Consider the following 23,178-nt stretch of genomic DNA (forward strand, 5'->3'; position numbering starts at 1 on the left):
AAGTCCCCTGGCTCTACCTGAGGCCTATATCAGAACAAGGCAAGTGGGTGTCCAACATTCTCTATGTTTAAACTATTCCCCAGTTTCATTCTGATGATAAGAAGCTACTGTATTAGATGACTGAATTAATCAGAAAAAAAGCCAAGCTACGCAGGAACACCACCAAAATAGTAAGAGCTTAACAGAACAAAGGCTAACTCAAAGTTTGCTGTGGGCCTAGGAGACCTTGGAGCAACTCTTCCATGTAGCAGCTCTCTGCAATCCAGATTCTTGGTGCCTCCACCAACCTCTAGATGCAACATCTAAAATATGCAGCCTCAGAGGCTGACACAACAGGCCAAAAGAATGCTGGAGGGTCTCACACTGGCAATTCAATGAGTCAACCTCAAAATAACACACGTTACTTCTACTAATGACCCCTTGGCCAGATGTAGTCACCTGGCCCCAGCTACCTGCAAAGGGACAGGGAAGTGAAACTGTCTCCTATTCCTGTAAGAGGAGAGAAGATGAGGGTATGGAAAAGCTCCAAAAGCCCTTGCCAAAATGACTCTCTGTCTATCTAAAGACTAGAAAGAAAATCCAGTTCTGTCACCCAGCAGCCCATAGGAAAAGTACACACTCTGAGCATTTTCTATGGCTAAAAAATACTAATAATAAGTCCAAAATCTTAGCATGAGCTTAATGTGATCATCAAAGCCTTATATTATCTGGACCTGCCTACCTCTCCAGCCTCACCTATCTCTCTCCTCACATCCTGAGCCTGCCAGTTACACTGAATTTTCTTTCTCCATGAACATATCATGTTCACTTTGGGCCTTCACCCATTCTGTTCCCTCTGTCTGGAACATTCTTAGCTGGTCTCTTCTCTTAGCCAATTGCTACCCATCATTTAGATCTCAACCTAAGCATCCCTATCCAATCATGCCAATCTAGGCTATGTTTCTCTTTGTGTTATGGTCCCATAGCACCCTGAATTACTCTGTCACAACATTTCTCACACATCTATTTACTTAACATTTACCCTCAAGGTAAATCTTCCTGTGAATGTGGGAAGGTGCACTGAAATGTCTTTTGCAGTTGTTGCTTCGGTCAGAAGTCAAAAAGGGATTGAACTTCATTTTGGCTGCTCCCACTTTGGTCTAGATTTTTTTAAAGCTTCAAAATTTTTTAATTTGGCAAGAAGTTCTTTGAAACTAATGAGAACAAAGATACAATGTACCATAATCTCTGGGACACAGCTAAGGCCATGTTAAGAGGGAAGTTTATAGCACTAAATGCCCATATCAATGTTCAATCCATGCCTAACCGAAAGGATAATGAAGTTCAGGTTGTACGAGTACGAGGACACTATAAAGGTCAGCAAATTGGTACAGTAGTCCAGGTTTACAGGAAGAAATATGTCATCTACATTGAATGGGTGCAGCAGGAAAAGGCCAATGGCACAACTGTCCATGTAGGCATTCACCCCAGCAAGGCGGTTATCACTAGGCTAAAACTGGACAAAGACCGCAAAAAGATCCCTGAACAGAAAGCCAAATCTCACCAGGCAGGAAAGGAAAAGGGCAAATACAAGGAAGAAAAAATTGAGGAGATGCAGGAATAAAGTAATCTTATATACAAGTTTTGATTAAAATTTGAAATGAAGAAAAAATATATATACTCATGGTGGCCATTGAGTTTTAGGCACACTGGTGACCGTCATTGCTACAGCTGCTCACTTTCTCTGGTAAACCAGAAAGACCTCAGACACTGGGTTCCTCACTCACATCCACGGGGATGCAGCCCTGCCAGTGCTCAGGCAGAGTTCTCAGGAGCGGGGACACCTTACTGTTAACTTGTGTGTCGTCTTCTAAAGTGATCTCATTAACTGCTGCTGTGACCATGTTAGTCAAAAGTCACAGAGAAGACTGGAGATGGTGCACGTGTTTGCAAGTGGATCGGGGGAACCAGCCCCAATATTTCAACGTACGTTATTTTCTATTTTCCCTAAGTGTCAGCCAGTCTTACAAATAAAGGGATAGAGTACAAAAGAGAGAAATTTTAAAGCTGGGTGTCCGGGGGAGACATCACATGTCGGCAGGTTCCATGATGCCCCCTGAGCTGTAAAACCAGCACGTTTTTATTAGTGATTTTCAAAGGGGAGGAAGTGTACAAATAGGGTGTGGGTCACAGAGATCACATGCTTCAAGGGCAATAAAAGATCACAAGGCAGAAGGTCAGGGCGAGATCACAAGGTCAGGATGAAACTAGAATTACTAATGAAGTTCCATGTCCCACTGTGCACGCATTGTCATTGATAAACCTCTTAACAGGGTTCAAGAGCAGAGAACTGGTCTGACTAGAATTTGCCAGGCTGGAATTTCCTAATTCTAGCAAGCCTGGGGGTGCTGCAGGAGGCCAGGGCGTATTTCATCCCTTATCTGTAACTGCATAAGGCGGACACCCCTAGAGCAGCCGTTTTAGAGGCCTCCTCCTGGGAATGCATTCTTTTCCCAAGGCTGTTAATTATTAATATTCCTTGCTGGGGAAAGAATTCAGTGATATTTCTCTTACCCATTTTTGGCAATAAGAGAAATATGGCTCTGTTCTGCCCAGGTCACAGGCAGTCAGACCCAATGGTTATCTCCCTTGTTCCCTCAACATCGCTGTTATCCTGTTCTTTTCTCAAGGTGCTCAGATTTCATATTGTTCAAAAACACACGCTTTATGAACAATTTGTGCAGTCAACGCAATCATCACAGGGTCCTGAGGCAACATACATCCTCAGGTTACAAAGATGATGGGATTAAGAGATTAAAGTAAAGACAGGCATAGGAAATTATAAGAGTATTGATTGGGGAAGTGATAAATATCCACGAAATCTTCATGATTTATGTTTAGAGATTGCAGTAAAGACAGGCATAAGAAATTACAAAAGTACTAATTTGGAGAACTAACAAATGTCCATGAAGTCTTCACAATTTATTTTCTTCTGTCATGGCTTCAGCAGGTCCCTCCATTCGGGGTCTCTGACTTCCCGCAACACATGTGCCTGTGTGTGTGCATGCTCCTGTGTGCGTGTGCATGTGTGTATGGCTAAAATTAAGTCATGCTGTCAGCCACTCATGATCTCATTTGAAATAGTGTTTGGAAATGGGAATGGTTTTGTCCTGCATGCTGATGTGTCCAGAATTTCATTTAATAATAAAAGGAAAATGTGTGGTTACTGAAAAATGTGTATTGATACAGAATTTCGTAAGAGCCATGTTAGACAAAGCAACTCTCTTTTTCAACCACTGCTCATCAGTTTCTGTAGAGTAAAAAAATCTGTACATATTTTGGAATCTGGAGAATCCTATATAAATCATTTGTTACTTAAATCTGTGAAAAACATGTTTCTTTGGAGGAAAATGTATGCATTTATAAGCATTCTGTGGAATCAGTTTTAATTGTATTCATGTAATTGTCTCTAAGTGATCATCATCTTCATAGCAATAAGAAATTCATTAAAATGTCCATGTTCCATAATTCTAAAGAACTAGAAAAACAAGAGCAAACAAATCCCAAAGCTAGAAGAAGACAAGAAGTAACCAAAATCAGGGCTGAATTGAAGGAGGTCGAGACACACACACACAAAAAAAAAAATTCAAAAGGTCAACAAATCTAGGAGGTGGTTTTTTAAAAAAATTAATAAAATAAGACCACTAGCTAGACTAATAAAGTAGAAAAGAGAGAAGATTCAAATAAGCACAATCAGAAATAATAAGGGGAATATTACCACTGACCCCACCGAAATTCAAAAACCATCAGATAATATTATAAATATCTCTGTGCACATAAACTAGAAAATCTGGAAGAAAAAGATAAATTCCTGGACATATAGACCTTCCCAAAACTGAACCAGGAAGACATTGAATCTCTGAACAGACCAATAATGAGTTCTGAAATTGAGGCAGTAATAAATAGCCTACCAACCCAAAAAAGCCTGGGACAAGATGGATTCACAGCTGAATTCTACTAGATGTACAAAGAAGAGCTGGTACCATTCCTACTGAAACTATTTCAAAAAATTGAAAAGGAGGGACTCCTCCCTAATTATTTTATGAGGCCAGCATCATCCTAATACCAAAACCTGGCAGAGATACAACAAAAAAAGGAAATCTCAGGCCAATATCCTGTTTTATGGGTATCTTTTTAGTTTTCCCAAAAGGCTGATAAATTTCAACATTTTGAATACATCATTGTTAATTCTGAGTTGGCAGAGGTAAACTAACCAACTACCATTATGTTTTAGTACTAAGGGATATATACCTTTCAATAAAGTTACTGAAATGCAAAAAATAAAAAATAAAAAACTTTGGAAAAATAGAAATTAAAATTTTTTTAAAAAGGTTACCCTCCCTACAAAATTACGTTTGAAGACCATATCTATCTTTTATTCTGAGAACATTATGCAGTTCCTGGCTCACAAATGATGCTCGATAAATACTGATTCACTGTATTAGCTTCCTATTGCTGCTATAATAAATTACCACAAACAATGCCTTCGATCAGCACAAGTTTATTATCTTAATGGTTTTGAAGGTCAGAAGTCCCACACAGGTCTCACTGGGCTAAAACCTATGCGTAGTTGGGAGCTGTATTCCTGCTGGAGGCTCTGGGAGATAATCTGTTCCCAGTCTTTTCCAGCTTCTAGCAGCCACCCACATCCCTTGGCTCATGCTCTCCCACCAGCAATGGCATTATTCTTACCTCTGCTTTTGTCATCACATAACTCTTTCTGACTCAGACTCTCCTGCCTTCCTCTTTCCCTCATAAGGATCCTTGTGATGATATTGGGCCGACCTGGATGGATAATCTAGAATAATCTCCCCATCCGAAGGACTCTAATTTAATCACATCTGCAAAGTCCCTTTTGCTATATAAGGTAACAAAATCACAGGTTTGGAGGATTTGCATGTGGACATCTTTGCGGGGTCGGGGAGCATTATCTTGTCCACCATACTGGCTGACTCATCATTATCTCACTTCTCACAGAGAGAAGACGTACAACAATAACACTTGTGAACCTCTGTTCCCGTCTAAGGAAGCATCTCAGTTCTTTGCAAAAGCCTGGCTAGAAGGGAGTTTCTCATTGTCTAGTGAGTGCTGACTCTGGAGGGCTGTCTCCAAAAGAATTTAACAGGGCCTCCACCCATTTCCCTCTCAGCTCCATGTACATTGTACCACTCAAACCTCCCACAGGTGAGAAAGTGAAAGTATGAAAAGTGCAGAACGCCCCCTCTTTGACCTACAACAAGTTAGAAGAAGCCAGAAATAAAACCTCTCATTTTATACCCCAGTGAACACATACTTGTTGAATCCCTTCCATTATGCATGCTGGGGTACAGATGAGGTCCCACTGCCATGCAGTTATATTCCAGAGCAGGAGACCTGCTACAGGGAAGCCACAGTTCCCATACTCAAATGCCTTGCTGGGCTATGCAAAGAACTCACATGTGTGAAGTAGTCAAGGGTGAGAATACAGGGAGTGGTGATTATGTTGAGCAGGAGAGTTTCTGCTTGTCTAAAGACATTCAATTCAAAATTGATCTATGACCACTATGCTGGCCAAGGAAAACAAGCCTGCAACTTAGATCAGCACCCCCAACTCATCATCTACAGGGTTGCCATTCCCAAGGTAAACAGATTGATAAAATAATTTCAGATATTGACACATTTTGTGAGAAAAATAAGGCAGGCTTATGTGAGGGCAATCACTTAATGTGGGGGAGGGATGCTCTGGCTTTTCAGGGAAGGCAACCTATTCCAGGACACCAGACATCTTTGTCTCTACCAAGAATTTCCAGTGAGGAACTCAGATCTCAGAAGAGGCATCTTCTCTGTCCTGTGGTTATAAAATGAAGTAACTCAAAATTCCATTTTGATGAGAAGGGGTATTAGAATAAGAAGAAAAATTGTCTCTTCTTTGGAAAATCTTATAAACCACAAATGGAGTTGAAAGCATCAGGTTACAGCAAACCTAGGTAGAATCTGATAAGAGACAGTTATCTTAATAGAAAAGTGCTCTTTCATTTTTCGTAATGCATTCCAGAAACCACGTATCACAAGACAGTGTGATCATTTGACTATTCTGGTTTTTTGGTCTAGTACCTGACTTTGATTCTTGTGCTCAACTTAAGTCCCCCTGAGTATTCTTTGCATTATACTCCTTCCAGTAGAAGTGAGTTCACATCCTGTCCATAGCTTCTTTCACAATCCAAGCTATATGTCTTTAATGTTAATGTTTCAAACTCACTCTCAGAGAGATGTTTCACATGCCTGGTCATGCCTGGTTGCCAATTGCCTTTGAGAGAGTTCTTTCTAGCTCATGAGTCTAGCAATCAATAGTATAATTTGTTGCTGTGTTCTCTGTATATTAGGAAGAGGCAAGCTCTATGTAGAAATCAATGTGTGGGGGGAAAAAATGACATGGGCTTTAAAATGTAAGTGTAGGTACAGGTGTAAGTATAAGTACCTGCATTGCCATGGGTGTGGTGGCAGAGCAGTGTTTCTGTATAAGCAACTCTTATTTATACCTGATTGATGATAAGATAGCTGGGGACCCATTTGGCCTATTATTTCTCTTTTTGTTCCTAACTGCTCCCTTCAGAGGAGAAGCAAAGATATATAAGATACTGATTAGCCAAGTTAATAGGTTAGAGAAAACTTGGGGAAGAAAATATATAGAAAAGAAAGGAAGTCAATTGACTTTGGGCATTCGATGATCCATGATAAGGTTAGTTGAGTTGTAGGAGCCTATGTTGTTTTAATAGCTTAAGATGTAGGCCTCAGAGATGATCATTTTTGGGGACAGAAAGTAGATTTCATCTCAGTATTATCTCATGCCATCTGGTAGTGCCTATTTGGAAGATTAGGCTGGGACACAAGATCACAAGAGAAAGAGCCTTGAACAAGTAGTAATCTCTGCCATGGGTGCGGGAGGGAAGGTTGACAGTATGCCCAGCAAGAATTTGCCTTCCTTGGCCTAGACCAATAGCCTCATTTCACAAACTAGAAAGTGAGAACCAGGAGAATTTAAATGATTTGTCCAAGGCCTCACAGCTCTGAAGCAGTTCTGGGAGTTCCTGTTGTGCTAACTCCATACCAGCCTTTTTTTTTTGAGATGGAGTTTTGCTCTTGTTGCCCAGGCTGGAGCGCAATGGTGCAATGTCGGCTCACTGCAACCTCCACTTCCTGGGTTCAAGCGATTCTCCTGCCTCAGCCTCCCGAGTAGCTGGGATTACAGGCATGCACCACCACACCTAGCTAATTTTTGTATTTTTAGTAGAGAAGGGGGGTTTCTCCATGTTGGGTCAGGCTGGTCTCAAACTCCCGACCTCAGGTGATCTGCCCGCCTCAGCCTCCCAAAGTACTGGGATTACAGGCGGGAGCCACTGCACCTGGCCTCTTCCATCACACCACTCTGCTTAGCACCTGTCCCACATAAATAAGAATAACACACACTATAGTATAGATAAGGTGAGGCTACAACATGACCATGGTAGACTGAAAAAGGGTCTCCAAAAGATGTTCATGTCCTAATCCCCAGAACCTGTAACTATGTAAGTTGCATGATAAAGGAATCTGCAAACATGATTAAGTTAAGGATTTTGAGATGGGGGGGGGTATCCTGGATTAGCCAGGTGGACCCAATGTAATCACAATGGTCCTTACAGAGAAAAGTAGGAGAGTCAGAGTCAGAGAAGGGGACGTGATGATGGAAGGAAGTTGGAATGATGTAGGGTCAGGAACCAAGGAATTTGGGCAGCTTCTTGAAGCTAGAAAAACACAAGGAAATAGATTCTCCCCTAGTGCCTCCAAGGAGAGCTGCTGAGGACTCCCACAGGCTCCCTGCTTTCTTATTTTTTTGATCCTCCCCAGGACTCGCTCTATCACCCCATTTGCCTAATAAAATACCATGCATCTTTCAAAAGTCTGCTAAGCTACAATATGGTGCCATGAGAATTGCTAAAATGAAAAGAAAAAATATTGTCTGCAAGGAAGTGGAGCAACCAGAACCCTCATAGACTGCTGCTGGGAGTATAAGTTAGTACAACCACTTTGGAAAACTATTTGGAAGTAACTATAAAGCTTAATATACCATAAGAACAAACGATTGCACTCCTGGGTGTACATTCAACAAAAATGCATACATATGTTCATTAAAGCACATGTATTAGAATTTCACAGCAGAACTATATGTAACAGTCAGAGACTTAAAGTGTCCACTAAACAGTAGGTAAATAAATGGAGGAATGAATGCATGCATATTCTGACAATGGAATATCATACAATGAGACTGAATGATCTTTACTCATATCTAATAATATAGATGAATGTCACAGACATAATGTTTGTTGAAAGAAGCCAGACAGAAAAGTTTACATATTGTGTCATTCCTGTTATACAAGGCACTAGTTGCAGGCATCACTGCTATATGCTGTTTAAAGTCAGATAGGTCTTACTTTTGATGGATAGTAACTAGGAAGAAAAATAAGAGATCTTTCTAGGCACCTGGCTTACATGGTGTGTTCAACCTGTCAAATTTTATTAAGCTGTACATTTACTATACATGTATATTACATTTCAATCAACCTTTAAAAATAAACTCAATTAAAGCATTCCTCTGGTTTCCTAACCATTCTCCAGGATAAAATTGATTATCCCTTCCTGGCGTTTAACTTTATCTTGTGCAGCCTCTGTTATGTCATACGTAATAATGTATTATCAATATGCCTTATCTTCTAAACTATAAATTCCTTGAAAACTATGGTATTTCTAACTCATTTGAATGTCCAAAGCCTAGCCCGTAGTAGTAACTAGAAAATGTTTGTTGAGTTGAATGAATGAATTAGTTTCTTCTTTTGCAGTCACTTCACGCCTGGTCATTTCAACAAACATTTGATCAATAAATACTTATATGTGATAGGCCCTGTGTTAGGTGTTTGGAATAAAAAGATTTTAAAACACAGTTCTTAGACAAGCATAAACAAATGCCAGTCAGAGTCTAAGAGTTTTATATTTAAAAAAAAAAAAAGAAAAGAAAAAAGAAAAATTCAAGGACTTTCTTTTTACCAGCTGTAAAAAAAAAAAAAAAAAAAAAAAAAAAAAAACTACATCTGCTGACTTCCTTAGCCATCCAATGGCATTCTCCTTCCTCTCTTTACTATTTTCACATTGGCATATTGGATTACACTTTTCTGGGATTATTTTCCTTCATGTTTCCTTCTCATGTTTATTTTCCTTCATGCTTCCTTCTTAGGATGCTCTATCTGTCCTAAACCTTATACTTTCTTAAACCACTAGCCTTTAAGGGCAGGTCTGCTAAGATAGTGTTTCCAATCTTTCCATTTCAGGACACATAGAGAAAGTGATGTTATTTGTACTGCACACGGGGGCAAATGGGAGAGGCTACTTGAGGCCAAAGGTGAGCACCCCACGTGCTCCCTGATGTTCCAGGTCCTGCCTGGGCTCAGAGGATTAAGAAGTCAACATCTCATTCTCTGCACACCAGTATTTTATACAACACATAGTGAGAAGCTTGCTGATCTAAGGACATTGGTCAGATTATATGACCATAGGGTCAATATCTATTATCATATTGTCCACCCTGGCTATGATGGCCACACAGGCCAGCAGCCATACTGCTAATCAATATCCTTGGCTTCTCCCCATTCCAACTAGCCGGCTGATAACACAGACTCAGTTCAGATTCTACCCTTGGAGAGAGAACTATATCCATCTCCTTTGTTTGGATGCTTGCTTAAAAGTGTCTATTGACAGGTGAAGAGCATATGCCCATGAAACAGACACCTTTTCTCTGAAGTCTCCTGGCTTCCCATTCTCCTGGACTGTGCCTTATGGAATGAGAGCTGTCAGGACCAAAGTTGCACCTCAGAAGTTGTTTGTCTGACAAGTCACTGCTGACTGTGGCAGAAAAGCCTTTCAAAAATTTCCTCCCACTACCTGTGGGTTGCAATAGCTAAGCATGTTGTTAAAATAAATATGACAATTTTGAAGATCAAAGACTGCCTTCAAAGGGATATGGTTAATTCTACTTACCATGCTTGATTTGTATTTACCAAAGAGAGCTAGAAATCCTGAGACTAGCTGCGAAGATCCAACCAGCTTGTTGCTTTTATGACCTTGGCTTTTACTGTTGAATTACAAAAGGTGGATAGCTGGAGATAGCAGACTTAGCTATGGTACTGCAAGTGACAGAAACAGGAAGAGGTCCAAAGAAATAGAGAAGAACTTCAACAAGAAGCTAAACTGAGGGGCCCCTTGTGGAAAAGAAACTTCAGAGCAGGACTCACTGTGCGGGCAAGGAACCCATTTGTGAGAAATTAGGGGGTGGAAGGGAAGTAATAACCCACATAAATTATTAAAGTCATCATGTGAGCAAGAACAAGGCTGCAAGAAAAGGTGCAAGGCAACACATGCCTACACTATGCATTGCTGATAGGCAAAGGGGGCATTTCACACGGGCTGCTGAGAAGAGATGCCTGAACAGCCCTATGATGGAAAATGGGCAGAGAAAGTGAAGGGGCTAGCCAAACTAACCATGGGGCAACAGTCCTGGAAAGATAGAGAGATGAAGAAAATCATGTGTACTAGAACTCATCTTGTGCAGCTTACTGAATGTGGTTACAAGGAATAATTTGGGAACTTCTTGTGAAGGAGGAAATGGGAGGTGAAATCCCCTTAAAAGCATGCTTGAATAACACCAGATGTTTGTTAAACTGCCTTTTAAAATAGGTGGGTCCAGATGACTGCAGGGCTTTTGATATGCTGAGTGGATCTACAAATTTGGACCAGAGCAGAATTGCTCAGGATGAGAGAGAAGCAGCAGAGCTCTGCTGTAGAGACCCCTCCTTTCTGCCCTTTTGTCACACATCACTGAGCCACCCCTCTTCATAAGTATGACCAACAACTTATAGGTGGGAGGATCATCTGAAGTCAGAAGTCAAGACCAGCCTGGCCAACATGGTGAAACCCCATCTCTACTAAAAATACAAAAATTAGCTGGGCGTGGTGGCATGCACCTGTAATCCCAGCTACTCAGGAGGCTGAGGCAGAAGAATCACTTGAACCCAGAAGGCGGAGGTTGCAGTGAGCCGAGATAGCACCACTGCACTCTAGCCTGGGTGACAGAGCAAGACTCCATCTCCAAAAAAAAAGAATGCATAGGTAACACTTTCTTTTTTTTTCTTTTCCAAACAAATAGATAACAAAAGTTTTCATTGTTAAAAGGATGGTTGAGACACATATTTACCATGTCACCAGAGCACTGATTCTCACTTTCCTTGGGTCTACGGACTCACTGTTGTGAATTTGATCAAGCTACAAACCTACTCATCAGAAACTGGCCCCAAAAGCACATATAATTTCAGGAGATTCACAAATACTCCAAAATCTATTTAAGGATCCTAAATTAAAAGCTTTAACTATAGAAAGGTTTGACATGCCTAGTGCCTAGGTAGCCATGACAATTCATGCTGGATATCTGGATACAATCCTAGAACTCTATCTCCATCAATTCCAAGAGGGCCATATAAAGGAATTCCTCTAATATGTGGCTAACATGTCCATTAGCACTCTTGGAGTATCTTATCATATACCATGAGGAAAATCAGTCTTCTTGGGCTTAATTTCTATGTAAGCATGAGAATGGCAAATAAGTTAAATACTAAATTACTAGTTTTTTCTTATCATCAATACATTCATGTTCTATTTAGAAATGCAATTTTGAGAGTTTATAATAAAGAAAGCCTTGGTTAACAGGCTGTTAAGGAAAGTTTAAGTGTTTTCTTTTTTAAAAAAATGCTTTATTGACTTCATTGGCAAATTTATAAACGGTTAACATGGCTTCAACTAGTTGAAATTATGATTCACATCAACATGATGACAATTGTGTATACAGTTCATGTTGCACTCATACTGTACGCCTTCTTATTTGTGGTCCAGAAGAATGGCTGTTGCTCTTTCCTTCTTCATCCAGAGTCTTTTTGGTAGCTTTTAATTCCTTCTTCTGCTTCTCTACCTTCTGTTTCTCCAGCTGGGCTTGGTATTTTCAAACTTTAGTTATTTGGTTGGCTTTTGCCTCCATCCTTCCCACTAATGCCTCCGATTCTCACACTAAGTTGTCTTTCAGTTCAACAGTTGCCAACTCCTGGGTAAGTTTTGCATGCTGCTGGTGATTAAAGGTCCTATGTCCATTCATCCTGTAAAGTCTGTAAGACTTCTGACAATTCCTCATTAATGCTGTCAGAGGAGGGAGGTATTAATGACAACTTCTTACTTTCAACACATCTTGAAGATACTTGCTTTGCCAAAGGAACACTAATGACTGATCACTGCACAAAGCTTTACTGTGTTGCTTCATTAGATGCAATGCAAGACAAGCTGAACATTGGCTGCCACAGCATGGCTAAGACTTGTGGACTTCCCAGCTACAAATGGCACATCACCCAAGCATAATCTATAATGTACTCGTGCACCAAAATAGTTCCTAGAACTTAGTTTTTCTTGTGGTTTTGACTTTTTTTAAAATTCTTCTTGCACTGGGAAAATGCGGACTTGCCTTATCTTCAATAATAAGTCTATTTGTTTCTAGACCAGTCTGTAACTTAGCTGCCTTAGTTTGTACATGTTTCCTTTCCTGTTCTTCTTCAGAGTTTTGCTACCAACTCTTACATTTTTCTTTCTGCAAGGGCCTGCACTGTGGAAAGTTATACTCCCATTCATAAAGATCCAATTTTTCAAGTTGGCTCCAAACATGTCTTTGATTGTATCGCCATTCTCTTTCTAGGGAAACCTGTTTCTCTAAGACAGATGTCCTCTCCCTTTCTGCATGCTTTATCATATTTCACATGTATTCCAATTGTTTTCCTAAAAGATTACATTTATTTTCTGCAGCTATCAACTGAGATATCAGTTCTTGATTGTGCTTTGATTCTTCATTCTTTGAATTCTCCCTTTCCCATATCTCTCCATCCAGTACCTTCTTGGATTCAATTGTTTCTCTAGACAAGGTTTTCACACTTTCTTCTGCCAGAATCATTTCAAGTTCCAAGCATCAAATCTTACCTTTAAGATTCTTAAGAGCACAAAATATAGCTCTGCTGTTGCTTTCTGGATAGGCAAGTGTAGGCTTATTTGGGGAGTGTCGTAGATCACTCTTAAGGAAAGGCTTATCGGATGGATGTACTACATTTGGAGATGAAGAATGCTGAACAGGCTTCCCTAAGGCCCTGATGGTTCAGTTAAGATGTTTGAGAACTGAGAACCAGAAGCAGCAGAGACCAACGCCACCCAGGGAGCCTCCACAGGTCTGAGACATCTGGGTTCTCGTACTCTCCTTCAAAACTCAGGAGCTGCCCACCAGGGGTGATCCTAAGCTGAACCCCTGATAGAAAGGGGCAAAGGTGCTAGTGCTGGGCTTAGAAACCCCTGCCACACACTGGTGCCACTTTCTTAGTCTGTTGGGGACAACCACATAACTCAGTCTGGCCTTAATCATAAATTTTGTGACCATGTGAAAGCCAACCATTTTTTGAAGGACAATTTGGTAATAAATAACAGATATTTTTAAACCCAAAGCCTTTGATCCAGAAATTTAATTCCTAGGAATCTGATGTCCAGAAACACTCATAAATGTGTACAAAGATATTTTTATGGATTTCAGTTTAGCATTGTTTATAATAGGGAAAGAATAAAAATATCCTAAATGTCTATCTATAGGGGATTAATTTAATTATACTATATCTATATTTTGCATTTCTTAAGAAGACTAGGTATATATATATATATATGTACTGATGTGGAATGGGGTTCATAACATATTGTTCAAAAAAATAAAAAGAAAAAAGTAAGTATTTCATCATCTTGTTTTTAAGTTTATTTTTTAACTTTAAATGGATGTATGTGTACATATATATTGGGGTGTATGTGTATATATATATATATATATATACACACACACATATATATACATATTCACAGATGTAAATTTGTATATGCATAGAAAAAGTGTGAAGAAAAAAACTCACACCTAATAATAAGCAATGGTTTCCTCTGGGGAACTGGATGGTATTTTTGCTATGTTACTTCTGTATTATAATTTTTAAATAATTTGTACTACCTTTGCAATTTTAAAAATCAACAAAAATACTTCTTAAGGGAGTTGAAACTATGTTGCATGTATTTTGTTATCCAATCAGGATCGCATTACAATTAAACTAATTATATCACTTTAAAGTGTAAGAAAACAGTGTTCGGTACTCTTTGGTCTCTCCCACTCTACAACAAATATAGGGAAATGGGAACATCACATCACTATTATACCACTAACTGTTCAAGGGGATCTAAATGTCATATCAGGCAGGGCAGTAGTCAAGTTTGTACAAGTTGCCATTTTAATTACACAATTTTAAGAAAAAAATATATAAAATTATGAATATAAAATCAGGTATAAGGCTAAATATTTAGAAAAAGAAATCACAAAAAAATAAGTTCAAGAACGCTAACAAGCCAGACATAGCAGCTCATGCCTCTAAGCCCAGCTACTCAGGAGGCTGAGCCCAGGTATTGAGGCTGCAATGAGCTATGATGGCGCTGCTGCACTCCAGCCTGGGAAACAGTGTGAGACCCTGTCACAGGGAAAAAAAAAAAAGACAGAAAAAAGAATGCATCATTCTTAGGTGAGAAGTCACTTGGAAAAAAGAAAAAAACACAAGAATGCTAACAAACACAACAATGATATAATCCAGAAAAATAACAAATTTTATTAACGTTGCTATTTTTAGAATACATTTCTATAATACTATTTTCTTACACTTTTTGGCTAGATGCTCTTTTAACAAGAATTTTGTAATATCATTTTCTACAGAAGCAACATTATTTAGTGTTTCCTCTAGCACAATTTATGGAAATATGTTTTTTATTATTGACTGTCTCAAAAGGTTTTTTGCTTCAAATTTCATTATTGTTAATGACATGCAAAATGTTTAGGATCATTGTCCTATAATGAGGGGAAATTCTATCAAGTGTCTTTCATATATCAACTGTAAAATTTCAGGGCACTTCAAGTTTCTTGTAGAGTGAGTAATCTTAAACGATCATTCATTAAGATCATTCATTAACTGATTTGTCATCAGTGTCCTCATTGTAGTAGCATTTTGTGAGTTTTTGATTATTTTTTGTTTATATGTTGTGTCAAATCAGCAAGAAATTTATTTTCCAGTTATGTTTGAATAATTAATTTCTCTTAATTTAATCATCAAACAAGCTAAGAGTTGATCATTACTTCTGATGAAATTTACCTCTTTCTATTAATGACATAACTGGGTTTTGGGTAAAATAAATGTTTTGGGGTATGATCTGCATGATGTTTCATATGGAACCACCAAACTGTGTCAGGACAAGATTTATCAAATACATTAAGATGTTTCATAGCATATTGGTATGCATAAGATATGCAAGTTCACACATATATAGACTCTTTATTTGTAATACTGCTTAAGATTTATGTCTTATACAGGCAATAACAAATGCTAGTGAAGATGTGGAGAAAAGAGAACCCTCATACACTGTTGGTGGGAATGTAAATTAGTAAAACCATTATGGAAAACAATTTAGAGGTTCCTCAAAAAACTAAAAATAGAGGTACCATGTGATCCAGGAATCCAACTCCTAGTATATACCCAAAAGAAAGGAAATCAGTATATCGAAGAGATATCTGCACCCCCATGTTTGTTGCAGCACCATTCATGATAGCCAAGATTTGGAAGCAACCTAGTGTCTATCAACAGATGAATGGATAAAGAAAATGTGGTATTAATACATATCCACAATGGAGCACTATTTGGCCATAAAAAAGAATGAAATTCTGTCATTTGCAACAACATAGACGGAAGTGAAATAAGCCAGGCACAGAAAGACAAACATTGCATGTTCTCACTTATCTGTGGGAGCAAAAAGTTAAAATAATTGAATTCATGGAGATAGAGAGTGAAAGGATGGTTACCAGAGGCTGGGGAGGGAAGTCCACATGGAGGGGTTGAAGGAAACAGGGGGATGGTTAATGGGTACAAAAAAAAATAGTTAGAAAAAACAAATAAGACCTAGTATCTGATAGCACAACAGGGTAAATATAGTAAAAAATAATTTCATTGTTCATTTTAAAATAACTAAAGGAGTATAATTGGACTGTTTGAAACACAAAGGATAAATGCTTGAGGTAATGGATATCCTATTTACCCTGATGTGATCATTGTGCACTGTATGCCTGTATCAAAATATCTCATGCAACCCACAAACATATGCACTGAATATGTACCCACAAAAATTAAAACTTAAAAATTAAAATATATATATGTCCTATAAACACAAGAATTTGCATAAATTTGATTGGACACAATTTTCTTTGAAAAGTATGTGATGCAGTATAACTATATATGCTGCCTAAAAAATAAATTCCTGACATAAGAGAATGGCCATTTTCAAGATCTTTGTATTCTGGGCCCTCGCTTTACAGGCTACTTCTAAGCCCCTGGGAGGGGCCCTCGCATGAGTACACATGATTATCCATTTGTCCAGTTTGGAAAAGTCAGATAATTTTATGACAAATGGTTAATAACACTGTGTCTTCCCATACTGACTTCTCCATCACACATCCCTTCATGTTAGATAGTGTTAACAATGGGCATTTCTGAGACCTGGACTGAATCATTCAGAGAACTAAACTCTTTGCTACAATTCCACACTCTCACGACTGCAAGGACTTTCCACAGAGTAGCTTCCAGCCCCATACACTCCATATCTTGTCTCCCATCCATGGATCAACATTTGTATATTTTACCATGGCACACATTCATCTGACGATACAGCCTCCGAACCTATCTCTTTGTGTTACAGTGCCAGATGAATCAGCACAGAGGATTCCGTTTTCTAGAAACCATTCCTATGCAAGATCACGTAGTAATAATTCACTACACGTGGAAATGACAGTAAAATACATAAATACCTCCCACTTAACCTAAATTAAATGAATCCTCAACTTAACCTCCCAAAAATGCTCACTTCCAACCCTACCAACAGAAAGGACTTTTGACAGAGGAGAAGTTGTAGTGTTAAGAGTCAGGGGGTTTATGGAGTAAAAATAACTTCTTTTTGCAAATTTTGCAAAAACATAAGATCATGTGAACCCACTGCCAGTGTCCCTCTAAGGAGCTCATGCCATGAAGGACCCTGAAGTTCAAGCTTCTTTAACTTCATGGAAAATCTGCCTCTGAACATAAGACCCTGCTTAGGAGGACACTCAGGGAAAAGGATCATCAGAACTGTCTAAAAATTCCCCAATGGAATAAAACCCTAATGTGGCCTATGAGGGCCTGCCTCCTTGACCTACACCTGTCTCTACAGCATTTCATACTGAGAGGTGAAGCCAGCTGGACTTGCTGGGTTGAGTGGGGACTTGGGGAACTTTTCTGTCTTACAAGAGGATTGTAAGAGGCACCAATCAGCACTCTGTAGCTAGGATTGTAAAATGGACCAATCAGCACTCTGTAGCTAGCAAAGGGATTGTAAAATGCATCAATCAGTGCTCTGTAAAATGCACCAATCAGCACTCTGTAAAACGCACCAATCAGCAGGATCCTAAAAGTAGCCAATCACAGGGAGGATTGAAAAAGTCACTCTAATAGGACAAAAATGGAACACGCGAGGGGACAAATAAGGGAATAAAAGTTGGCCACCCCCATTCAGCAGCAGCAATCCACTCAGGTCCCCTTCCACACTGTGGAAGCTTTGTTCTTTCACTCTTCACAATAAACTTTGCTACCACTCACTCTTTGGGTCCATACCATCTTTAAGAGCTGTAACACTCACTGCAAAGGTCCATGGTTCCATTCTTGAAGTCAGCGAGACCACAAAACCACCAGCAGAACCAACTCCAGACACATCTTGTGGGCTCCTCCGGAATATTGCCATGCAGTGAGTACCATTGGACCCCTGTTGCTTGCTATTCTGTCCTGTTTTTCCTCAGAATTCGGGGGCTAAATACCAGGCACCTGTTGGCCAGTTAAAAGTGACTAGCACAGGGCCTGACTAAAGACACGGGTGTCAGGCTTTCTGGGAAAGGGCTCTCTAACCATCCCTGACTCTTTGGAGTTGGGAGCGTTGGTTTTCCTGGAACCAGATTCCGCTTTCCCTGTACTTCTGGGCTGAGCCAAGGGTCAACAGAGAAGAAAGCCATTCAGCTTCGGGGTCCCGACAACAAGTTGGTTGACCCTGCAGCCATGAGCAGAACTCTCAAAGTTACATCACCCAAGAGAGACTAGCCCATCTATCCTATCTATCCTGACCCTTGCCTCCTAGGTCCTGATGCCTGTCAGACAAACTTCCTCCCACCTCTCTTCTCCAAGGCTAGTCCTGTTTCTAAAAACCACTCCCTGTCCCTGGCGCTCTTCTAGTTTATCCTATAAGAATGATTTCTAGTATAAATTTCAGGACTCTGTTCCCTTCTTTAGGCACCCAGGCTCACCAATAAGAAAGATATAATTATTGCCCAAAGCCCCATCAGTGGGGGGACTATCTGGAATTTTAGGATCCCTCCTCAGACTAGCAGGCCTAAAAAAGGCTATTCCCAAAGCTAGGATATGGGGAGCCTCAGAAATTATAGACTCCAAAATTGGGGGGGATATCATTCCCATTCATATGATGAGAAGTGAGGACAAAAGGCATCACTCTTCCCACCCTGGAGATCCCTTCCCTCCCTCAGGGTATGGCCCTCCACTCCATTTTGAGGCACATCATCTTTATAGGACAAGTGTAAGGTCCCAATACTAACAGAAGAAAAGGCTTAGGACTCTAACAGGTTTTTGAGAATGCGTCAGTAAGGACAACTAAATCTGACTTTTCTTGGTCCTCTTTGTGGTCTAAGAGGAAAGGCAAGGGTGCAGATTTTTGAGAATGCTTCGGTAAGGGCCACTGAATCTGACCTTCCTCAGTCCTCTTTGTGGTCTAGGAGGAAAACTAGTGTTTCCGCTGCTGCTTCAGTGAGCGCAACTATTCTGAACAGCAGGGTCCAGGGACCGTTGCAGGTTCTTGGGTGGGAGGAAAAAAAACAGACCAAAACTATGGGTGGTTTTTTTCTTTCAGATGGGAAACACTCAGGCATCAACAGGCTCACCCTTGAAATGCATCCTAAGCCATTGGGACCAACTGGACTCATAAACCCTGAAAAAGAAGTGGCTTATTTTTTTCTGCAATACAACCTGGCCCCAATATTCTTCCTCTGATGGGGAAAAATGGCCACCTGAAGGGAGCATAAATTACAATACTATCCTGCAGCTTGACCTTTTCTGTAAGAGAGAAGGAAAATGGAGTGAAATACTTTATGTCCAAGCTTTTTTTTTCACTGAAGGAGAATACACACTATGCAAAGCTTGCAATTTACATCCCACAGGAGGACCTCTCAGCTTACCCCCATTTCCTAGCCTCCCTATAGCTCCTCTTCCTATTAATGATGAGCCTCCTCTAATCTCCTCCACCCAGAAGGAAACAAGCAAAGGACTCTCCAAGGGACCACAGAAAACCCTGGGCTATCAGTTATGTCCCCTTCAAGCTGTAGGGGGAGGGGAATTTGGCCCAACCCGAGTACATATCCCCTTCTCCCTCTCTGATTTAAAGCAGATCAAGGCAGACCTGGCGAAGCTTTCAGATGATCCTGATAGATATACAGATGTCCTACAGGGTCTAGGGCAAACCTTCAATCTCACTTGGAGAGATGTCATGCTATTGTTAGATCAAACCCTGGCCTTTAATGAAAAGAATGCGGCTTTAGCTGCAGCCTGAGAGTTTGGAGATACCTGGTATCTTAGTCAAGTAAATGATACAATGACAGCCGAAGAAAGGGGAGAATTCTCTGTTGTTCAGCAAGCCATCCCCAGTATGGATCCCCACTGGGACCTAGACTCATATCATTGCGACTGGAGTCACAAAAATCTGTTGACATGTGCTCTAGAAAGACTAAGAAGAATTAGGAAAAAGCCCATTAATTATTCAATGATGCCCACCATAACTCAGGGAAAAGAAGAAAATCCTTCTGCCTCCCTCAAGTGGCTATGGGAGGCCTTAAGAATATATACTCCCCTGTCACCTGACTCCCTTGAGGGTCAATTGATCCTAAAAGATAAGTTTATTACCCAATCAGCCACAGATATCAGGAGAAAGCTCCAAAAGCGAGCCCTGGGCCCTGAACAAAATCTGGAGGCGTTATTAAACCTGGCAACATCAGTATTCTATAATAGGGACCAAGAGGAACAGGCTGAAAAGGAAAAGTGAGATCAGAGAAAGGCCCTTAGTCATGGCCCTTAGTCATGGCCCTCAGACAAACAAACCTTGGTGGTTCAGAGAGGACAGAAAATGGAGCAGGCCAATCACCCAGTAGGGCTTGTTATCAGTGTGGTTTACAAGGACACTTTAAAAAAGATTGTCCAATGAGAAACAAGCCACCCCCTCATCCACGTCCCCTATGCTGAGGCAGTCACTGGAAGATGCACTGCCCCAGACTGCAATGGTTCTCTGGGCCAGAAGCCCCCAACCAGATGATCCAACAACAGGACTGAGGGTGCCCAGGGCAAGCACCAGCTCATGTCATCACCCTCACTGAGCCCCAGGTACGTTTGACCATTGAGGGCCAGGAAATTGACTTCCTCCTGGACACTGGTGTGGCCTTCTCAGTGTTAATCTCCTGCGCTGGACGGCTGTCCTCAAGGCCCGTTACCATCTGAGGAATCCTGGGACAGCCTGTAACCAGGTATTTCTCCCACCTCCTCAGTTGTAATTGACAGACTTTGCTTTTTTCACATGCCTTTCTTGTTATGCCTGTAAGTCCCACACCCTTATTAGGGAGGGATATATTAGCCAAAGCTGGAGCTATTATCTATATGAATATGAGGAAAAAGTTACCCATTTGTTGTCCCCTGCTTGAGGAGGGAATCAACCCTGAAGTCTGGGCATTGGTAGGAAAATTCAGAAGGGCAAAAATGCCTGCCTAGTCCAAATCAGGCTAAAAGACCCCCCTCCTTTTCCTTATCAAAGGCAATATCCCTTAAGACCTGAAGCTCATAAAGGGTTACAGGATATTGTCAGACATTTAAAAGTTCAAGCCTTAGTAATAAAATGCAACAGTCCCTGCCACACCCCAAATCTAGGAGTAAAAAAACCAAATGGTTAGGGGAGACTAGTGCAAGATCTTAGACTAATCAATGAGGCAGTAATTCCTCTATATGCAGCTGTACCCAACCCCTATACCCTGCTTTCTCAAATACCAGAGGAAGCAGAATGGTTCACTGTTCTGGACCTCAAGGATGCCTTCTTCTGCATTCCCATGAATTCTGGCTCCCAGTTCCTCTTTGCGTTTGAGGATCCCACAGACCACACGTCCCAACTTACATGGACGGTCTTGCCTCAAGGGTTTAGGGATAGCCCTAATCTGTTTGGTCAGGCACTGGCCCAAGATCTAGGCCACTTCTCAAGTCCAGGCACTCTGGTCCTTCAGTATGTGGATTATTTACTTTTGGCTACCAGTTCAGAAGCCTCATGCCAGCAGGCTACTCTAGATCACTTGAACTTTCTAGCTAATCAAGGGTACGAGGCGTCTAAATTGAAGGCCCAGCTCTGCCTACAACAAGTCAAATATCTAGGCCTAATCTTAGCCAGAGGAACCAACACCCTCAGCAAAGAATGAAGACAGCCTATACTGGCTTGTCCTCACCCTAAGACATTAAAACAGTTGCAGGGGTTCCTTGGGATCACTGGTTTTTGCTGACTATGGATCCCCGGATACAGCAAGATGGCCAGGCCACTCCATACTCTAATCAAGGAGACCCAGAGGGCAAATACTCATCTAGTAGAATGGGAACCAGAGGCAGAAACAGACTTCAAAACCTTAAAGCAGGCCCTAGTACAAGATCCAGACTTAAGCCTTCCCACAGGACAAAACTTATATTTATACATCACAGAGAGAGTGGGAATAGCTCTTGGAGTCCTTACTCAGACTCGTGGGACAACCCCACAACCAGTGGCATACCTAAGTAAGGAAATTGATGTAGTAGCAAAAGGCTGGCCTCACTGTTTACAGGTAGTTGCAGTGGTGGCCATCTTAGTATCAGAGGCCATCAAAATAATACAAGGAAAGAATCTCACTGTCTGGACTACTCATGATGTAAATGGCATACTAGGTGCCAGAGGAAATTTATGGCTATCATACAACAAACTGCTTAGATACCAGGCGCTACTCCTTGAGGGACTGGTGCTTCAAATACACATGTGTGTGGCCCTTAACCCTGCTACTTTTCTCCCAGAGGATGGGGAACCAATCAAGCATGACGGACAACAAATTGTAGCCCAGACTTATGCCACCCAGGAGGATCTCTTAGAAGTCCCCTTAGCTAATCCTGACCTTAACCTATATACCGATGGAAGTTCATTTGTGGAGAATGGGATACGAAGGGCAGGTTATGCCATAGTTAGTGATGTAACAGTACTTGAAAGTAAGCCTCTTCCCCCAGGGACCAGCACCCAGTTAGCAGAACTAGTGGCACTTACCTGAGCCTTAGAACGGAGAAAGGGAAAAAGAATAAATGTGTATACATATAGCAAGTATGCTTATCTAATCCTACATGCCCATGCTGCAATATGGAAAGAAAGGGAGTTCCTAACCTCTGGGGGAACCCCCAATAAATACCACAAGAAAATCATGAAGTTATTGCACAAAGTACAAAAACCCAAGGAGGTGGCAGTCTTACACTGCCAAAGCCATCAAAAAGGTGTAGGAGAAAAGGCAGAAGGAAACCATCGGGCAGATGCTGAGGCCAAAATTGCTGCCAGGAGGAACCTCCCATTAGAAATACCTATGGAAGGACCCTTGGTATGGAACAACCCCCTCCAAGAGACTAAGCCCCAGTATTCCCCAACTGAAACAGAATGGGGACTTTCACGGGGGCATAGTTTTCTCTCCTCAGGGTGGTTAATGACAGAAGAGGGAAAAGTACTCATACCCCAAGCCAGCCAGTGGAAAATACTTAAGACCCTCCACCAAACTTTTCACACGGGTATAGAGAACACTCATCAAATGGCCAAATCCCTTTG

The 23,178-nt window shown here is 40.8% G+C and overlaps 1 protein-coding gene, 1 long non-coding RNA gene and 2 pseudogenes across 3 annotated transcripts in view, besides 4 other annotated features; 1 reads left to right on the forward strand and 3 right to left on the reverse strand.

Moving 5' to 3' along the window:
• The window catches only part of TNFSF4 (TNF superfamily member 4), a 277,864-nt gene that overhangs the window by 177,538 nt on the left and 77,148 nt on the right, over nucleotides 1-23,178 (reverse strand). The gene's annotated exons all lie outside the window — the stretch shown is intronic.
• The window catches only part of LOC100506023 (uncharacterized), a 242,096-nt gene that overhangs the window by 115,348 nt on the left and 103,570 nt on the right, over nucleotides 1-23,178 (reverse strand). The gene's annotated exons all lie outside the window — the stretch shown is intronic.
• Nucleotides 1,285-1,646, forward strand: RPL26P11 (ribosomal protein L26 pseudogene 11; annotated as a pseudogene).
• Nucleotides 4,684-4,733: an enhancer, noted in NCBI's record as "active region_2101". NCBI's record gives its function as "activates an Ori minimal core promoter by ATAC-STARR-seq in GM12878 lymphoblastoid cells {active_cell/tissue: GM12878}" and the evidence as "EXISTENCE:reporter gene assay evidence [ECO:0000049][PMID:35858748]".
• Nucleotides 4,984-5,153: an enhancer, noted in NCBI's record as "active region_2102". NCBI's record gives its function as "activates an Ori minimal core promoter by ATAC-STARR-seq in GM12878 lymphoblastoid cells {active_cell/tissue: GM12878}" and the evidence as "EXISTENCE:reporter gene assay evidence [ECO:0000049][PMID:35858748]".
• Nucleotides 6,189-6,248: a silencer, noted in NCBI's record as "silent region_1554". NCBI's record gives its function as "represses an Ori minimal core promoter by ATAC-STARR-seq in GM12878 lymphoblastoid cells {active_cell/tissue: GM12878}" and the evidence as "EXISTENCE:reporter gene assay evidence [ECO:0000049][PMID:35858748]".
• Nucleotides 10,355-10,404: an enhancer, noted in NCBI's record as "active region_2103". NCBI's record gives its function as "activates an Ori minimal core promoter by ATAC-STARR-seq in GM12878 lymphoblastoid cells {active_cell/tissue: GM12878}" and the evidence as "EXISTENCE:reporter gene assay evidence [ECO:0000049][PMID:35858748]".
• On the reverse strand, nucleotides 11,971-13,484 carry LOC646870 (centrosomal protein 57kDa pseudogene; annotated as a pseudogene).

The sequence above is a fragment of the Homo sapiens genome, chromosome 1 (assembly GCF_000001405.40).
Source record: "Homo sapiens chromosome 1, GRCh38.p14 Primary Assembly".
In the NCBI taxonomy this organism is placed as follows: domain Eukaryota; kingdom Metazoa; phylum Chordata; class Mammalia; order Primates; family Hominidae; genus Homo; species Homo sapiens.